Source organism: Homo sapiens, chromosome 16 (assembly GCF_000001405.40).
Source record: "Homo sapiens chromosome 16, GRCh38.p14 Primary Assembly".
Classification (NCBI taxonomy): domain Eukaryota; kingdom Metazoa; phylum Chordata; class Mammalia; order Primates; family Hominidae; genus Homo; species Homo sapiens.
In genome coordinates this window covers 84,423,341-84,440,061 of record NC_000016.10, presented here as the reverse complement: position 1 = coordinate 84,440,061, position 16,721 = coordinate 84,423,341, and the positions used below count along the sequence as shown (strand labels likewise).

The following is a 16,721-nucleotide window of genomic DNA, read 5'->3' as shown; positions in this document are numbered from 1 at the left end:
GTTTGAGACCAGCCTGGCCAACATATAGTGATACCCCGTCTCTACTAGAAAATACAAAAATAAGCTCGGCGTATTAGGGCATGCCTGTAGTCCCAGCTACTTGGGAAGCTGAGGCAGGAGAGTCGCTTGAACCCGAGAAGTGAAGGTTACAGTGAGCAGAGATCAGCCACTGCATTCCAGCCTGGGTGACGGAGCAAGACTCTGTCTCTCACAAACAAACAAACAAACCACAAATGGACTAATCACGGTTAGTTTATCGTGGAAGGTATGGAAGATTTTTTCTAGCTTTTAAATTTTGCAATGTGCTTATAATTAATAAGTAACTAAAAAAGGAGGCTACCTTAAATTGGTCATATCTATTAAAAGGAAGTATGGGATGATTAAAAACAAAATCAGTCATGTTAGCAAGGAGATTATAAGATGACCCCAATTTATTTCTTCCTTATTGTGTTCTAGAAGACATTGTGTGCTTAGTTTAGAAAGGAGACAGCCTGGCTGGGTGCATCCTTAAGGCTTGTAAATTCCTTTGGCACTCACCTCGGCACGAAGCCCATCTGACGTTACAAGCTGGGTCACTGTCATTTCATTGGCAGTCAGAGTCCCCGTCTTGTCAGAACAGAGAACGCTGCAGCAACCTGGTACAACAAACACCAGTTTATAGAAGAGAAGTTGCCATCCTCAGGCTTGTGAAACCCCCAGGCTGGATTGCCCTGACAGCCAAGCCCCCATTCAATTCCACGTGTAAGGATTCCACCAGCTGGAGTCCCTCACCTAAAGTCTCCACGATGGGTAACTTCTTCACGATGACCCGCTTCTTGGCCATCCGCAGCACTCCCAGGACCAGCGTCACCATGACGACGATGGGCAGACCCTCTGGAATGGCCGCCACAGCCAGGCTGGATCGAAAGGTCAAATGAGTCCCCTCTAACACATTTAAGGAGTGTGTGACTCTCAGCTGGGGCTGGCAATGCTTTTGGCTGGTGAAGCTTGTCTTAGGTGTCCCCAGTGTCCTGGTTCTAGTCTCCATTCCCAATCCTAAGGTGCACCTGCCTCCTTCTGCAGCACCCACTGTCCTGAGCCCTCCCCTGCAGACCCCGCTCTTGGGAAGGGACCTCTCCTGTCAGTCATCCACACCTTAATGTGAATTAGTCTGTCAGCTGTTTTGCCTCTTTAAAAGTATTTTGCATTGACATTATTCTCATTTATTAGAGAGAAAAGGCTTTGGGTTCCATAAAAGGAATTCCCAAAATCAGACAGTAAGTGGGATTAAGAGTTTTTGGTTCCAGGGGTCCTCGTGAGTCCCTTGAATTTCACTTTTCATGAGTGTAGTGGTGTAGACACTTCCTATGAGGAAGCCAGACAAGGAAGTCCAGGTCAGGGCAGGTGAAGGGCCACAGCGACACACTTGCCTGCTGCGTGGATCTGTTTCGGGGTGTCTGCTCACTTCTTTCTTACCCCTCCAACTCTCCCTGTACGGTGCGACCCCACTCTCTCATAACCAGGGTTGGCTGGATTCGAGGAGAGCGTGTGACCCAAGCTGAGCTGGTGAGATGCTCTCTTGGAAATGAGACTGGGGCTGCAGCACATGATACCCCTTCTCTGGGTGTGTCAACAGGTGAGAGCATGTGTAGAGGGGGCTCTTTCTATCCCTTTTGGCTGAGACTCCACAACATCGGGGCTGACTGGCCCCACATTCCACACTCCTGAAGTGGTGGAAAGGTATGATGCCTGGTGCCTGGTGTCCAGTTTGACATAGCCAGGGGTGGGCTGTAGAAAGGGCAAGAGTGTTTGCAAGTGGGCCACTGCTGAAGCTGGGTAGTGGCTACACAGGTGTTCACTTTATCATCCTCTCTGCTTTTGTACAGGCTTGAAATTTTCCTTTAAAAAATGTAAAAACAAACATGAAGAAACTATGACAACCCAAATGTCCATCAGTGAACAAATGGATGAGCCAAATGTGGTCTATCTATACAGCAGAATACACTTTAGCCAAAGAAAGGAACAAGGCACTGGCACATGCCACCATGTGGATGAGCCTGGAAAACATGCTGCTGAGTGGAAGAAGCCAGACATAGAAGGCCACTCAGAGCACGAGTCCATTCATAAGGGATGTTCAGAATGGGGAAATCTACACAAGAAAGAAAGATGAGCGATTGCTTAGGGCTGGGATGTGGGCATAGGTGGGAATGTAGAGTGATAGCTAAAGGGCACAGGGTTTCTTTTTGAGGCGATAAGAAAATGTTCTAGGCAGGGGGTGGTGGCTCACGCCTGTAATCCCAGCACTTTGGGAGGCCCAGGTGGGCAGATCACCTGAGGTCAGGAGTTTGAGACCAACCTGGACAACGTGGTGAAACCCCATCTCTACTAAAAATACAAAAATTAGCCAGGTGTGGTGGCATGCACCTGTAATCCCAGGTACTCAGGAGGCTGAGGCAGGAGAATTGCTTGAACCTGAGAGGCGGAGGTTGCAGTGAACCGAGACTGCGCCACTGCGCTCCAGCCTGGTGACAGAGTGAGACTCCATCTCAAAAGAAAAAAGAAAATGTTCTAAGGCCAGGCACAGTAGCTCACACCTATAATACCAGCACTTTGGGAGGATCACACTGGCAGATCATTTGAGCTCAAGAGTTCAAGACTAGCCTGGGCAACATTTTTTTATTTCTACAAAAAAAAAAATTATATATACATATGTATATATAAATTAGCTGGGTGTGGCAGTGTGCACCTATAATCCCAGCTACTGAGGAGGCTGAGGTAGGAGGATCACTTGAGCCTGGGAGGTCAAGGCTGAGGCTGCAGTGGGCCATGATCATGTCACTGTGCTACAGCCTATGTAGCAGAGTGAGACCCTGTCTCAAATAAAATAAAATATTCTAAAATGGACTGTGGTGACGGCTGTGTATATCTCTGAATACACTAAAAACCATTAAATTGTATGCTTTAAATGGATGAATTATATATGTGAATTATATCTCAATAAAGCTGTTTAAGAAAGAAAAAGGCCGGGTGTGGCGGCTCATGCCTGTAATCCCAGCACTTTGGGAGGCTGAGGCGCCTCGATCACCTGAGGTCGGGAGTTCGACACCAGCCTGGCCAACATGGAGAAACCCCGTCTCTCCTAAAAATACAAAATTAGCCAGGCGTGGTGGCGCATGCCTGTAATCCCAGCTACTCGGGAGGCTGAGGCAGGAGAATCGCTTGAACCTGGGAGGTGGAGGTTGTGGTGAGCTGAGATGGTGCCATTGCACTCCAGCCTGGGCAACAAGAGTGAAAGTCTGTCTCAAAAAAAAAAAAAAAACAGCCTTCGCTGGCGATGGGGAGGGGGAGGAGAGATTTTGAGCAGGTGAGGGAGGTTGGCCGGATCCTCCCCACCAAACCTCCACCCGAGGCCAGGCTGAGGAGGGGGGAAGATGTGACTTCAGTGGAGCTCCAAGTGCTGTCACCGCATGGATCCACTCTGTACAATTTCTAGAAAGAGACTATTTAGGGGACTAGAAGTGATGAGGAGTTTCTGTTATCTGAGATACCAGAAACATCCTGGGAGAAGGGGGCCACTGTCTCTCACCACACCTGCAACCCACCCACAGCCACTGCCAGGGACCCTGCAGAAGCCCCTCGAGACACGCCCGGTCCAGGCCCTGGGGCCAGGCTGCCCAGGAAATACGTGAAATCGGCCAGGGCGAGCAAGCCCACGTGGCGATCCCAGAGCCCAGGCCCTCCTCTAAACAAAGAGCCACCACCAAGTCACCAGGGACCACAGCAATGCACAGTGCTGCCGGGCCTCCCATGCTCCCAAGAGAAGCTGGAAATCCAGTATCTTTTTCATGCAAACTCCCAATTTTTAAACGTTGGCAACAAATTCCAATGAAAAAGATACAGTTCAAACAAAACACATTTTCTGGCTATATCACACAAGGGTGGCTGGGTTTGTTTGAGATGGAGTCTCACTCTGTCACCCAGGCTGGAGTGCAGTGGTGCAGTCTCAGCTCACTGCAACATCCACCCCCCAGCTTCATGCAATTCTCCTGCCTCAGCCTCCCGCGTAGCTGGAATTACAGGCATGTGCCACCACACCTGGCTAATTTTTGAATTTTTAGTAGAGATGAGGTTTCACCATGTTGGCCAGGCTGGTCTTGAACTCCTGGCCTCAAGTGATCCACCTGCCTCGGCCTCCCAAAGTGGTGGGATCACAGGCGTGATCCTCTGTGCCTTGCCTGTTTTTTATTTTTTTTTTTGAGGCAGGTTCTTGCTCTGTCGCCCAGGCTGGAGTGCAGTGTCACCATCAAGGCTCACCGCAGCCTTGACCTCCTGGACTCAAGCAATCCTCCAGCCTCTGCCTCCCTGGTAGCCGGGACATAGGCATGCACCACTATTTACTCCCTAATTTAAAAAAGGATTTGTAGAGACAAGGTCTCACTCTGTTACCCAGGCTGGTCTTGAACTTCTGGGCTCAAGTGATCCTCCCTCCTCAGCATTCCCAAGTGCTGGGATTACAGGCATGAGCCTCCAAGCTTGGCCAGGTGGCTGTTTTTATCCTCTGCATTAGAAAATCCAGCAAAGCAAGGAGGTATACAGTAAATATTTGCTGCATGAAGAAGGGGGTATAACAATGCTTAGGCCTGCGCTGGCCTAGCACACAGTGAGCACTCCACCTGGGTTGGCTGAACACCTGGTGAGAATCCATTCAACCAGGATCACACAGAGAGACCACATTTCATCAGAGCTAAGACAGTTGATTGTGAAGGGCACCATTATTTTGGGCAGAGCTCAGAAAAGAATAAACACTGCCAATTAATCAGTAACACCATGTTTTCTAATTACATCACTTATTAGAAGTGATCTGATTTCAGAGGAGTTGAAATGTGAAAAAGAATGTACATCTCACAATCAAAGAAATATGGTACATTAAATGTTGGCAACAAATTCCAATTACAAAACAGGCAGTTTGAATAGAATGGTTGTGAATGGTGACCTTTCACCCAGGGACAATACAACAGGCATGGACAAGTTATATAAACCAAGATTACAGAATCTGATCAAGGGGCTGTGCCCGGTTTCTACAGTGACAGCCAGAAGGCTTCGTTGGTTTTATGGCACAGGCTGTGAAGACCAGCTAAGCAAACATTTGTGGAGGGTTACGACGGGGACTTTCATCCCATATGGCAGGGGAAGGGCATCTTTGTATTACTTGGATGAATTCATAATAATAAAGAATTAATCCACAGACTAATAAAGATTAGAATGGGCCGGGTGTGGTGGCTCACACCTGCATTCCCAGCACTTTGAAACGCAGAAACGGATGGAACACTTGAGGTCAGGGGTTTGAGACTAGCCTGGCCAACGTGTTGAAACCCCGTCTCTACCAAAATACAAAAATTAGCCGGGTGTGGTAGCGAGCACCTGTAGTCCCAGCTACTTGGGGAGGCTGAGGCAGGAGAATCACTTGAACCCAGGAGGCGGAGCTTGCAGTGAGCCGAGATCACATCACTGCACTCCAGCCTGGGTGACAGAGAGAGACTCCATCTCAAAAAAACAAAAGCAAAACAAAAATTGATTAGAATGGACCAGGAAAAGCAAGTGCCTTGTATCATCTTGAATGTCACTTAACATATAGGGAATTTTTTTGTTTGTTTGTTTTTTGTTTTTTGAGATGGAGTCTTGCTCTGTCACCAGGCTGGAGTGCAGCGGTGCAATCTCGGCTCACCGCAACCTCCGCCTCCAGGGTTCAAGTGATTCTCCTCCCTCAGCCTCCCGAGTAGCTGGGACTACAGGCGCCCACCACCACACCTGGCTAATTTTTGTATTTTTAGTAGAGACGGGGTTTCACAATGTGGGCCGGGATGATCTCTATCTCTTGACCTCATGATCCACGCGCCTCGGCCTCCCAAAGTGCTGGGGTTACAGGCATGAGCCACCGTGCCCGACCCAGGAATTCGTTTTAAAAAAGTTCTTAAAGTTTTAAAAAAATGATTCTCTCATTTTACTTATTTTGGAAAATCTCCGCTGGCTAAGCTGCCATCTCCACCTTCTGACTCAGTGGCTTTCAGCGGCTTTAATCTGGCACTAAAACTGAAAAACCTCGCCCTTTCAAAATGACAAATGAGAGGGGGAAAGTGTCTCCCACGTGCAAGTCCACTCGCATGGATCAAGCGGGATGCCCGTGCTGCAAGGGAGGTTAGGACAAGAAACCGGAAGTGACCATAGCACTGGGTGGGGAGAGAATTGGGGTATTTGGGGCTTGAGCACAGAAGCCTTTTTTGCTTTTTCTTCTGGAAATATTTAATCGTCTTTCTTGCCTCATGAAGCTTCTCATGGCTTATAAGACAGGGATTGGATGCACCATTATTGGCAGGAGGGTGTGTGTGTGTGTGTGTGTGTTTTGTTGTTGTTGTTTGTTTTGTTTTGTTTTTGAGACGGAGTCTTGCTCTGTTCCCTAGGCTGGAGTGCAGTGGTGCGATCTCGGCTCGCCACAACCTCCACCTCCCGGGTTCAAGAGATTCTCCTGCCTCAGCCCCTGAGTAGCTGGGACTACAGGCATACGCCACCATGCCCGGCTAATTTTTGTATTTTTAGTAGAGACGAGGTTTCACTGTTTTGGCCAGGCTGGTCTCAAACTCCTGAACTCATGATCTGCAGGAGATTTTTTTGGTTTTTTGGTTTTCTTTTGTTTTTGTTTTTTAAGATAGGGTCTTGCTGTGTTGCCCAGGTTGGAGTGCAGTGGCAAGATCATGGCTCACTGAAACCTTGACTTCCCAGGCTCAAGCAATCCTCCCGCCTCAGCCTCCCAAGTAGCTGGGGCTACAAGCGTGCACCACCATACCTGGCTAATAACAAAACATTTGTTTTTGTACAGACAGTCTCACTATGTTGTCTAGGCTGGTCTCAAACTCCTGGGCTCAAGGGATCCTCTTGCCTCAGCCTCCCAAAGTGCTAGGATTACAGGTGTGAGCCACTGTGCCCAGCCTACTTGGGGAAGATTTTAAGCATTCTGTCTTCTGAGAGTCCTGTGTTCTCTGGCAGCCTCCTTGAGGCTCAAATGTCTCCCTCCCTGCCGCCACCCCTGCCTCCAAAGGCTCAGTCACCTGAGAATGCTGTTCGGGTGTCTTGGCCTCTTTCCTGGTCCTGTTCTTGCTGGAGCCCGCTCTCAGGGGACAGTGTCGAATCACAGCCTCACGCTCAGAGGGTGCTCCCTGGACCACCTGTGTTAGCACCCTTGAGAGCTTGTTAGAAATATGAGTCTCAGCCAGGCGCAGTGGCTCACACCTGTAATCCCAGCACTTTGGAAGGCAGAGGCAGGCAGATCACCTGAGGTCAGGAGTTCGAGATGAGCCTGGCCAACATAGTGAAACCCCATCTCTATTAAAAATACAAAAATTAGCTGGGTGTGGTGGCAGGCACCTGTAATCTCAGCTACTTGGGAGGCTGAGGCAGGAGAATAGTTTGAACCCAGGAGATGGAGGTGGCAGTGGGCCAAGATCACGCCACTGCACTCCAGCCTGGACAGAGCAAGACTCCATCTCAAAAACAAGCAAGCAAACACGGCATGTTCTCACTCCTAAGTGGGAGTTGAACAATGAGAATACATGGACACAGGGAGGGGGACATCCACACCCAGGCCTGTCGGGGGGTTCGGGGGAGAGCATTAGGCCAAATGCCTAATGCATGTGGGGCTTAAAACCTAGATGACGGGTTGGTAGGTGCAGCAAACCACCATGGCACGTGTATACCTATGTAACAAACCTGCACATTCTGCACATGTATCCTAGAACTTAAAGAAAAATTTAAAAATAAAAAAGCAAACAAAAGAAATGTGAGTCTCAACACATTGGGTACAGTGTACACTGCTCAGGTGATGGGTGCATGAAAATCTCAGAAATCACCACTAAATAGCTTATTCACGTAACGAAACACCACCTGTTCCCGAAAAGCCTACTGAAATAATAAAAAGAAAGAAAGAAATGTGAGTCTCGGGCCCCACCCAGCCCCGAGTTGGGGGAGCGGCCATCCAGGTTTGCCATCTCTCTCAGGGACCCTCCCGTTCTTCAGCTCGGCGGGAGACCTCAGCTCTCCAGTGCCTGCCTCTGCAGGTGCTCTTCCAATGCCCCAAACCCCACTGTCCCCAGCACAGCTCGGCGTCCTGCTCCAGTGCCCCCTTCCTCCCAGCCCCCGCTTCTGTAATAAGCTGGGGCTCCCACCTCCCACTTCCTTCGGCCTCTAAATCAAGGGTGGCCAACACTTTTCATCTCTCTGCTTCCAAAGTGTCACAGAGACAGCCTGGCGTGGCGTATTGGGAAAGGCTCTGATGATGAGGTTAGGAATAGGAGAAGGGGCCATGAGTTTCCCCATGATCTAAGCAACTCCATCATCTCATTCTGCTCACAGAGCTCAGCTGTGGTCCCCCCCAAGTGACCCTCGGATATGTTCCCACCCCCAAACCTTTGCCTGTGCTGTTCCCCCTGCCTGAACACCCTTCCTGCTCATCTCCTGACTCCTCAACTCTCTACCCATAACCCTCCCTGGCCACCTCTTCCAGTCCATCCCCTTCTACCTCCCTTTTTTTCGTCTTGAGACAGAGTTTTGCTCTGTTGCCCAGGTTGGGGTGCAGTGGTGAGATGTCGGCTCACTGCAACCTCTGCCTCCCAAGTTCAAGCGATTCTCCTGCCTCAGCCTCCCTGAGTAGCTGGGATTACAGGTACACACCACCATGCCCGGCTAATTTTGTATTTTTGGTAGAGATGCAACACCACATTGGCCAGGCTGTTCTTGAACTCCTGATCTCAAGTGATCTGCCCACCTCAGAGTCCCAAAGTGCTGTGATTACAGGTGTGAGCCACCATGCCCAGCTGGTTTCTACCTCCCTTTTAATCTCTTTCTCGGCAGTTATTCCTTTGTAGCACTCATAAGTTGTAATTATTTTTATTAATGTGTGCTTAAATTGTTAACATTCACTTTTTTCCCCAGCCAGAAAACTCCAGGAGGGCAGAGATCTACCTGATCCAGCTGGATCAGCACTTTTGATGTAAACAGAGAGTCAACAGATGCCCAATACATATTCATGGGGCAAACAAACTCGAGCCCATTGCCAATGGCCGCCAAGGATAGGGAGTGAGGGGCAGTGGCTGGCAGCAGAGTCCCCATCCTGCTGAGGTGGGGGGGTTGGGTTGCTGACAAGGAGCCCGGCTTTGGATCAGGCTTCAGTGGTTTGAAGTCTGTCTCTTCCATGCCCTGATCCCATAAGTTGTGCTAGTGTAAGCCTGTTTCCCAATCTGTAAAAAGGAGGCCAGACTTACCCCATGGGCTGTGTAAGGGTGAACTGGGATCACATGTTCTACTCCTGCTCCTTCTCCAGCACCAAAAGACCCTGGTCCCTCCCTCTTCAATTCCTTGAAGATTCTAGAACTGACTTTTTTTTTTTTTTTTTTGAGATGGTGTCTCACTCTGCTGCCCAGGCTGGAGGGCAGTAGTGTGATCTCAGCTCACTACAACCTCTGCCTCCCGGGTTCAAGCAATTCTCTTGCCTCTGCCCCCCAGTAGCTGGGATTATAGGCACGTGCCACCACGCCTAGCTGATTTTTGTATTTTTAGTACAGATGGGGTTTCACCATGTTGGCCAACCTGGTCTTAAACTCCTAACCTCAAGTGATCCGTCTGCCTCAGTGTCCAAAAGTGCTGGGATTACAGACGTGAGCCACCGCACCCGGCCCAGAACTGACTTTACTCTGTCCACCTGCAGGCTGCTCTTGGCAACTTTGCCGTTCGCGTAGACGGGTCTTCCCAGCCCTGGCTCAGGCCTCCTTGTCCTCATCTCCTTCAACGAGCTTGTTGTCCATCCACCCCCTTCTCCCGGCAGCCCAGTGCCTGCTGCTAAGGGGTTGAATTGTGTCCCTCCAATAAAATATGTTCACATCCTAACTCCTGGTACACGTGAATGTGACCTTATGTGCAAACAGGGCCTTTGCAGACATCATCAAATAAAAATGGGGTCATTAGAGTATCCACCCTAGTCCAATACAACTGGCGTCCTTATAAAAAGAAGAGAAGAGACGCAGAGACAGAGGAGGAGACCATGTGACAGACAGAGACTAGAGGCAAGATATCTATGTGCTCAGGACTGCCTGTGACACCAGAAGCTGAGAAGCATTTGGCTGATTCTCCCCCTAGGGTCTTCAAGAACAGCATGCTCCTGCCACACCTGGACCTCGGACTTCTGGCCTCTAGAATGGTGAGAATAAGCTTCTGTTTCCAGCCCTGCAGCCTGTGGTGCTTTGTTTTGACAGCCACAGGAATATGCACACCCAGTCTCCTCCAAGGCCTCATCACATCAGCCACAGCTCCTCCAGATCTCAGCTTCACGCTCCCTCTCCCACCTGCCTCTGCCTCTCTTCCCAGCTCTCTTCCTCTAGCCCTTGATTCCCATCGATTCTCCATCCCCACTGAGACCTACAATCTTTGAAGGTGGGAACCATGACTGTCTTGTTCACAACCTCCCCCAATCCCAACACTACATGAACATGAAAGGGATTCAATGAAAGTGATACGAACAGATCACGCAGTCACGTGCTATACACAGTAACACCGAAGGATAAATGCTCCTCAAAAGCTCCACGAAGGCTGGAAGCACTGGCTCACACCTGTAATCCCAGCACTTTGGGAGGCTGAGGCAGGTGGATCACCTGAGGTCAGGAGTTCAAGACCAGCCTAGCCAACATGGTGAAATCCCATCTCTACTTAAAATTTAAAAAATTAGCTGGGTGTGGTGGTGCGCCCCTATAATCCCAGCTACTTGGGAGGCTGAGGCAGGAGAATTGCATGAACCTGGGAGATGGAGATTGCAGTGAGCCAAGATCGTGCCATTGCACTCCAGCCTGGGCGACAAGAGTGAAACTCTGTCTGAAAACAAACAAACAAACAAACAAAAAAAACAACGCCATGAAGATCGTTCTGTTCAGGATATTAAGCCAGAAAGCCCCAATTCACTAGAGATCAAGACCATCCTACATTCAATAGACCCCCTTGGGTTTCATTATCCAGAGCCTAAGATGCCCTTTCGCAGGGCCATTAGTAAAACAAACCGAGAACCTGGGCATATATTCAGGGAAAAAGGGCTGCAACCCAGCAAAGACACCTGTACAGCACCACTGCATCATTTTCATGGTTCCAAACAGGTCTAGGGGGAAAGTCCAACCCCTGGCATACATCTCCGCTCATTTATAGGTTGTTTAAAGCTAAAACCTAAAGACTATTATCTATGAGTACAGCTTTTTTTCTTGTTCTTCTTTTCCTATTGAAAACTATCATTTAAGGGTATTCTGATGTGGTTTGAATGTCTTGTGTGTCTCATTACAGGATTTTTTTTTCTTTAAGGGAAGAGATGAACTTATTATGACTTAGAATTTATCTGGGATGGGGTTTTCCAAGTGTCTGTCATTTGTATTTTGCTTTTAGGATTTTTATCACATCTGTGTGCCCACATCATCACATAATATTCCAGCTCCTCTTTTCCATGTTTTTTTTGTGTGCTCTCAGCATTTGGTGTTACTAAGATTTTGTTTGTTAAATACACTGAGTGACAAAGTATCCAAAGCCAGACACAGTATTTCCAATTCCCATTAACTCAAAAAACAGTTATTGAATGCTTTTGTCATAGGACACACAGCTGCCCACATGTTGATTTTACCACCTGCCCCTCAATTAATGCACACCATGCAGTGTCGTTGAAAAAATAAGGCATTTGGAATCTCTTCTACTACTAATTACCAGATAATCGTGTACATTCATGTATACACAGGCAAGCCTGACTATGCACCAGAGCCATGTACACCTGATACTAGGTACCTGATACCATGTACCAGACCCAGTACACTCAACCCTTAAAGCAAGATTCTCTTGCCCACACTGGCCAGCAGGACAAACCTCTGTGTCCCAGCACACACTGGGATGCCTCAATCCACCAGGAGTTTGTCTGCTGTAATTCACTGTAATGATCATTACAGCACACATTTGCAATAATGGTTTACTCTTCATATATAAATTAGAAAGGCTCCGAGGACCCTCTCAATAACAGCATTCTTAGTTGCCTGTTCTATACCTTTCTGGTTTCTCTATTGATATATAATTTGTATATAATAAAATTCACTCCTTTAACATATATAATTGAATGGTGGTTAGTGTATGCAGAGTCGTGCACCTATCCGCACAATCAATTTTGGAACATTTTCTTCACCCCCGAAGGAAACCCCATAACTGTTAGGAGTCACTACACACTCCCCAACCCCAGGCCCTGGCAAACACTAACCTACTTTCTGTTTCTATGAAGTGACCTATGTTTTGGTTTGTTTCTTTTTTCAGACAGTCTCTTGCTCTGTCACCCAGGCTGGAGGGCAGTGGCGCAATCTCGGCTCACTGCAAACTCCACCTCCCGGGCTCAAGCGATTCTTCTGCCTCAGCCTCCCGAGTAGCTGGGATTTTAGGTGCCTGCCACCACACCCAGTTAATTTTTGTATTTTTAGTAGAGACAGGGTTTCACCATGTTGGCCAGACTGGTCTAGAACTCCTGACCTTAGGTGATCGTCTGCCTTGGCCTCCCAAAGCGCTAGGATTACAGGTATGAGCCACCGCGCCTGGCCGAGTGACCTATTTTTGAATATTTTATATAAATAAAATCATATAACATGTGCAACTGGCTTCTTTCACCTAGGAAAATGGCTTCAACATTAATCCATGTTGCAGTATGAATCAGTACTTCATTCCTTTCTGTGGCTGAAAAATATTCCACTGTACCTAAGTTGTTTATTCTTTAATGAGCTGATGGACATCTAAGTTTGTTTACATCATGGGTTTGATGTATTAATTACATATATATACATATGAACAGACACTAGAATGATTTTCCACACATCACCTAAAAACACGTTGCAGACAGCAGCTGCGTGTGCGTTACTGTCTGGGAACCAATGGGCCTGACATGAGCCTAGACATGGGTTGGTTCCTCCGTGTCCTGGCACAGCCCCTAGGCTCCCTTCCAATGGGACATACCCAGTTAGTGACAATCCCCGGCCTCTGCTTCCCTTGCTCTTGGCAAATAGCCACAGAAGAACTACTGACAAAGTCAAACCGCTGCACGATGCTGGGCTGCCCGTGCCTCTCCCTGTCTCGGCCACCAGGACCCAGGGGCTTGGGATGACTTATGAATCACTACGTAGAAGAAGGGCGGGTCCCCTCGGCTTAGCATCATCAAGTGATGATGACTCCCAGCCCTGCTGTCCGCGTGTGGCCTTGGGCTCTACATCCATTGCCGCTCTGATAGCCTCCTCTGTAAGACAAGGGCTTGGATAGAGTTGTAAACCAGTATTAAGAGCCAACACTCACTCTGCACTGTGTATCATGTGGGTGCTTGCACAGACTAACTCCTTTAATCCAGACAGTCGCCCTAGGAGAGGGTATATGAGCATTCCCATTTTTCAGAGGAGGAAACTGGGGCACAGAGAGCTAAGAAACTTGCTGGAGGTCACAGAACCTCCAGTTTTGTGGCAAGCGTAGAATTTAAACAGAGGCAGGCTGGCTCTGGGGTCCTTGCTCTTAGCCAGAAAGACCCAAACCCACAGGCAAAGAGTGACAAGAAAGCTGATACAGTTTGAATGTGTGTCCCAACTCAAACCTCAAGTTGAAACATAAGCCCCAGTGTTGGAGGTGGGAGGAGATTGGACGATGGGGTGGATCCCTCATGAATGGATTAGCGCCATCTCCTTCGAGCCGTTCTTGCTGGAGTGAGTTCCTGAGAGATCTAATTGTTTCAAAGCATGTGGCATCTCCCCTTCCTCCCTCTCCTGCCCCTGCTCTTGCCATGTGACATGCCTGCTCCCCCTTCCCCTTCCGCCTTGATTGGAAACTTCCTGGAGCCTCCCCAGAAGCTGAGCAGACACCATGCTTCCTGTACGGCCTGTAGAACCATAGGCCAATTAAACTATTTTCTTAATAAATTACCAAGCCTCAGGTATTTTTTTTTTTTTTAGCAATGCAAGAACAGCCTAATACAAAAGGGACACCCTGGATCATTTGCTGTCATTCATTTTGCAAGCATTCGCCGGGCACTCTGTACCTGTCGGAGAACATGCTATTGGGAGGCTGGAGTTTGGGTGACGGGGCTGCACCTTCCCAACCCTTCCTATTCTGCAGCCTCCCCACCTTCTCTTGCGGCAGGGAAGGGCTCAGAGCCCATTGACCACCCTGGCAAGGCAAGGGGCGGCCATAGCACTCTTACCTGACCCCGATCGTGAACATACTCAGGAGTTGTTTCCCTTGCGACCAGCCAATGAGCATGATGAGACCTGGGGAAGAGACAAAAACATCCTTATCTCCATATGCACTACACACGCTGATGCCTGGAGGGATTCAAACTCACTTCCTTAAAGAGTTTACAGGAATGCATGCACAGAGGAACGCCTGATAACCTCAACCACTTTCAACCCGTCTCTTCTCTTTTCTAAGGGAGATACGTTTATACCTACAAAAACCCGATTTTACTTTCTTAGGAAAGGTCCAAGCCAAATTTAAGTAAAAGGCTCAATCAGTCTATTTTGGACTGTTCGCAAGCATTTACATCTTATTCCCAAAGTTTACCGTCGGCTGCGTGTATCCAGAACATCCCCCCATGTGGTGTTTGTTGTGGCAAATGCAACTGCTCCTGTGATGGGCAGATAGGTCACTGTTTTTTCAAATTATTTTACTCTGTGGTACTCATGATTAAATATACTCCATTTCCATTTTCCTTCATTAATAATTTACCAAATACGTACTGCACACCAGTTACTGCACTAGGTGTACGAGACACGGAGGTGTGAGTAGGGACTGGGAAGGTGGGTGGTGTTGCCAGGTGACACCCTTGGAGAGCTTGCTAAAGAACGTTAGCTTTGCTTTGCAGGGGCCAGGGGGCCAGGGATGTTTTCTGATGGATGGTAGCGGGGTGTGTGTGTGTATGTATTGAGGGGGGCAGCTGCCACAGTATCTGTTAGTTTTGTTTTGGGCATTCTACTATTGGCTACTAAACTCAGTCATCAGCTGAAATCTTAGCTAGAACCCAAATGAACTCAAATGAAATAGATTAGCAAGGGGAGCTCTATTGGAAATAGGGGTGAGGCAGTGAGCCTAGAGCCACCCCCACTAGGTACTCACTCCACCCTTGTGGCATTCCCATAGTAGAAGGCTGGAGACTCCTCACAGGAGCTCACAAGAATCAACTAGGTACATCTCTTCCGAAATCCATGTTCTGTGTCTATACATTAGTAGCTTGAAAACGGCCACACTGAGAGTATTTGCACCATGGGAATTGGCAAATGCTACTTTCCTCTAGAAGCGCTGACCAGCATGGTGTTGCTTCCCTGCACCTGCCCCTTGGGCCTTCTAGGGGGTCCATGGGACTGAGTGTCAAAACTCTCCATCTGCTAGAGCAGTTCCCAAAATGTTAAAAAAAAAAAAAAAAAAAAAAAGCCCAGTGCGGTGGCTCATGCCTGTAATCCTAGCACTTTGGGAGGCCAAGGCGGGCAGATCACTTGAGACCAGGAGTTTGAGACCAGCCTGGCCAACATGACAAAACCCTGTCTCTACCAAAAATACAAAAATCAGCTGGGCGTGATGGTGCATGCCTGTAATCCCAGAGATTCAGGAGGCTGAGGCAGGAGAATTGGTTAACCCAGGAGGCAGAGGGTGCAGTGAGCTGAGATCACGCCACTGCTCTCCAGTCTGGGCAACAGAGTGAGACTCCATTCCTGCCCCCTCAAAAAAAATGTCTGAATGATATCATGGGTCTTGCTGTGGACATGTCAATTTAAGTTCTAATTTAACTTAAGAAACATGGGCTTACATAAGCTGTTTCTCTCAAGACTGTTCTCTGGCTTCGCAGTTTTGGCTACACTCACCAGCACCCCCCTCATCACTAGATGTGCTATAGGCAGTGGCTTGTTGGTTTATTCCTTGATTAAATGTTTTACTCAACAAATATTTACTGAGAATCTATTAGGGGCCAGGCATGGGTTGATCCTAAAGGCTGGAATAAAGGACACAGAAGTAAGGCCAGATATGGAAAGAACAGGAAGAAGCCCCAGAAGGGACTGGGGCAGCACTATGGGGATGTCAAGCCTTAAGATCTAGATTCAGAACCGCAGCATCATGTCAATGCTGTTTGTTGTGTTACCAAAGGTCAGGAAGTCCCAGTCCAGGAACAGCCTGCTTAGAAGCATAGAAATATGTTTGGGTGCACAGATAAACTACATTTCCCAGTCTCCTTTGCAGTTATGTAGGCCATGTGACTCCATTCTGGCCAATAAAAGATGGTCAAATTGATGATTCCACTTCCTGGTCTATGCCTTAAAAATGTCCTCCACAAGCCTCCATGTTTCCTCTTTCACCATCTGCTGGCTGAACAGAAACATGGCCTCCAAGGACCCAGAGGAAGATAGAGCAGCAATGTAACAGGGGCCTGGGCCCAAGTCACTGTTTGTAGGCGAGCTATCCAGGAGAGCCACTGGACCAGGAATACACCCACGGACTTTGGACTGCGGTGTGAGCAAGGAACAAGCGTTTACTCTGTTAAGCCAAGAAAATGTAGTGGCTGCTTGTTACAGCAGCCAGCCTGGTCCAACTATACAGAAAGCTCTTGTTGCTTGTGGAGAGCCTCTGATCCCAATCCCCAAGCCTTATGCAGCTGAGTAGCAAGATATTTGAGA

At 48.3% G+C, this 16,721-nt stretch overlaps 1 protein-coding gene across 6 annotated transcripts in view; it reads right to left on the bottom strand.

Annotated features, from left to right (window-relative positions):
• The window catches only part of ATP2C2 (ATPase secretory pathway Ca2+ transporting 2), a 95,650-nt gene that overhangs the window by 24,126 nt on the left and 54,803 nt on the right, over window positions 1–16,721 (bottom strand). For 5 of the 6 annotated variants that reach the window (NM_001286527.3, NM_014861.4, XM_011523486.3 and 2 more), the window contains 3 exons: window positions 14,261–14,327; window positions 772–896; window positions 538–635 (listed from right to left, as the gene is read on the bottom strand). In NM_001286527.3, coding sequence (NP_001273456.2) covers window positions 538–635; window positions 772–896; window positions 14,261–14,327 — 290 coding nt within the window. Of the gene's footprint in view, window positions 1–537; window positions 636–771; window positions 897–7,082; window positions 7,294–14,260; window positions 14,328–16,721 lie in introns of those variants that run through there. The other variant, XM_011523487.3, reaches the window with a different exon arrangement.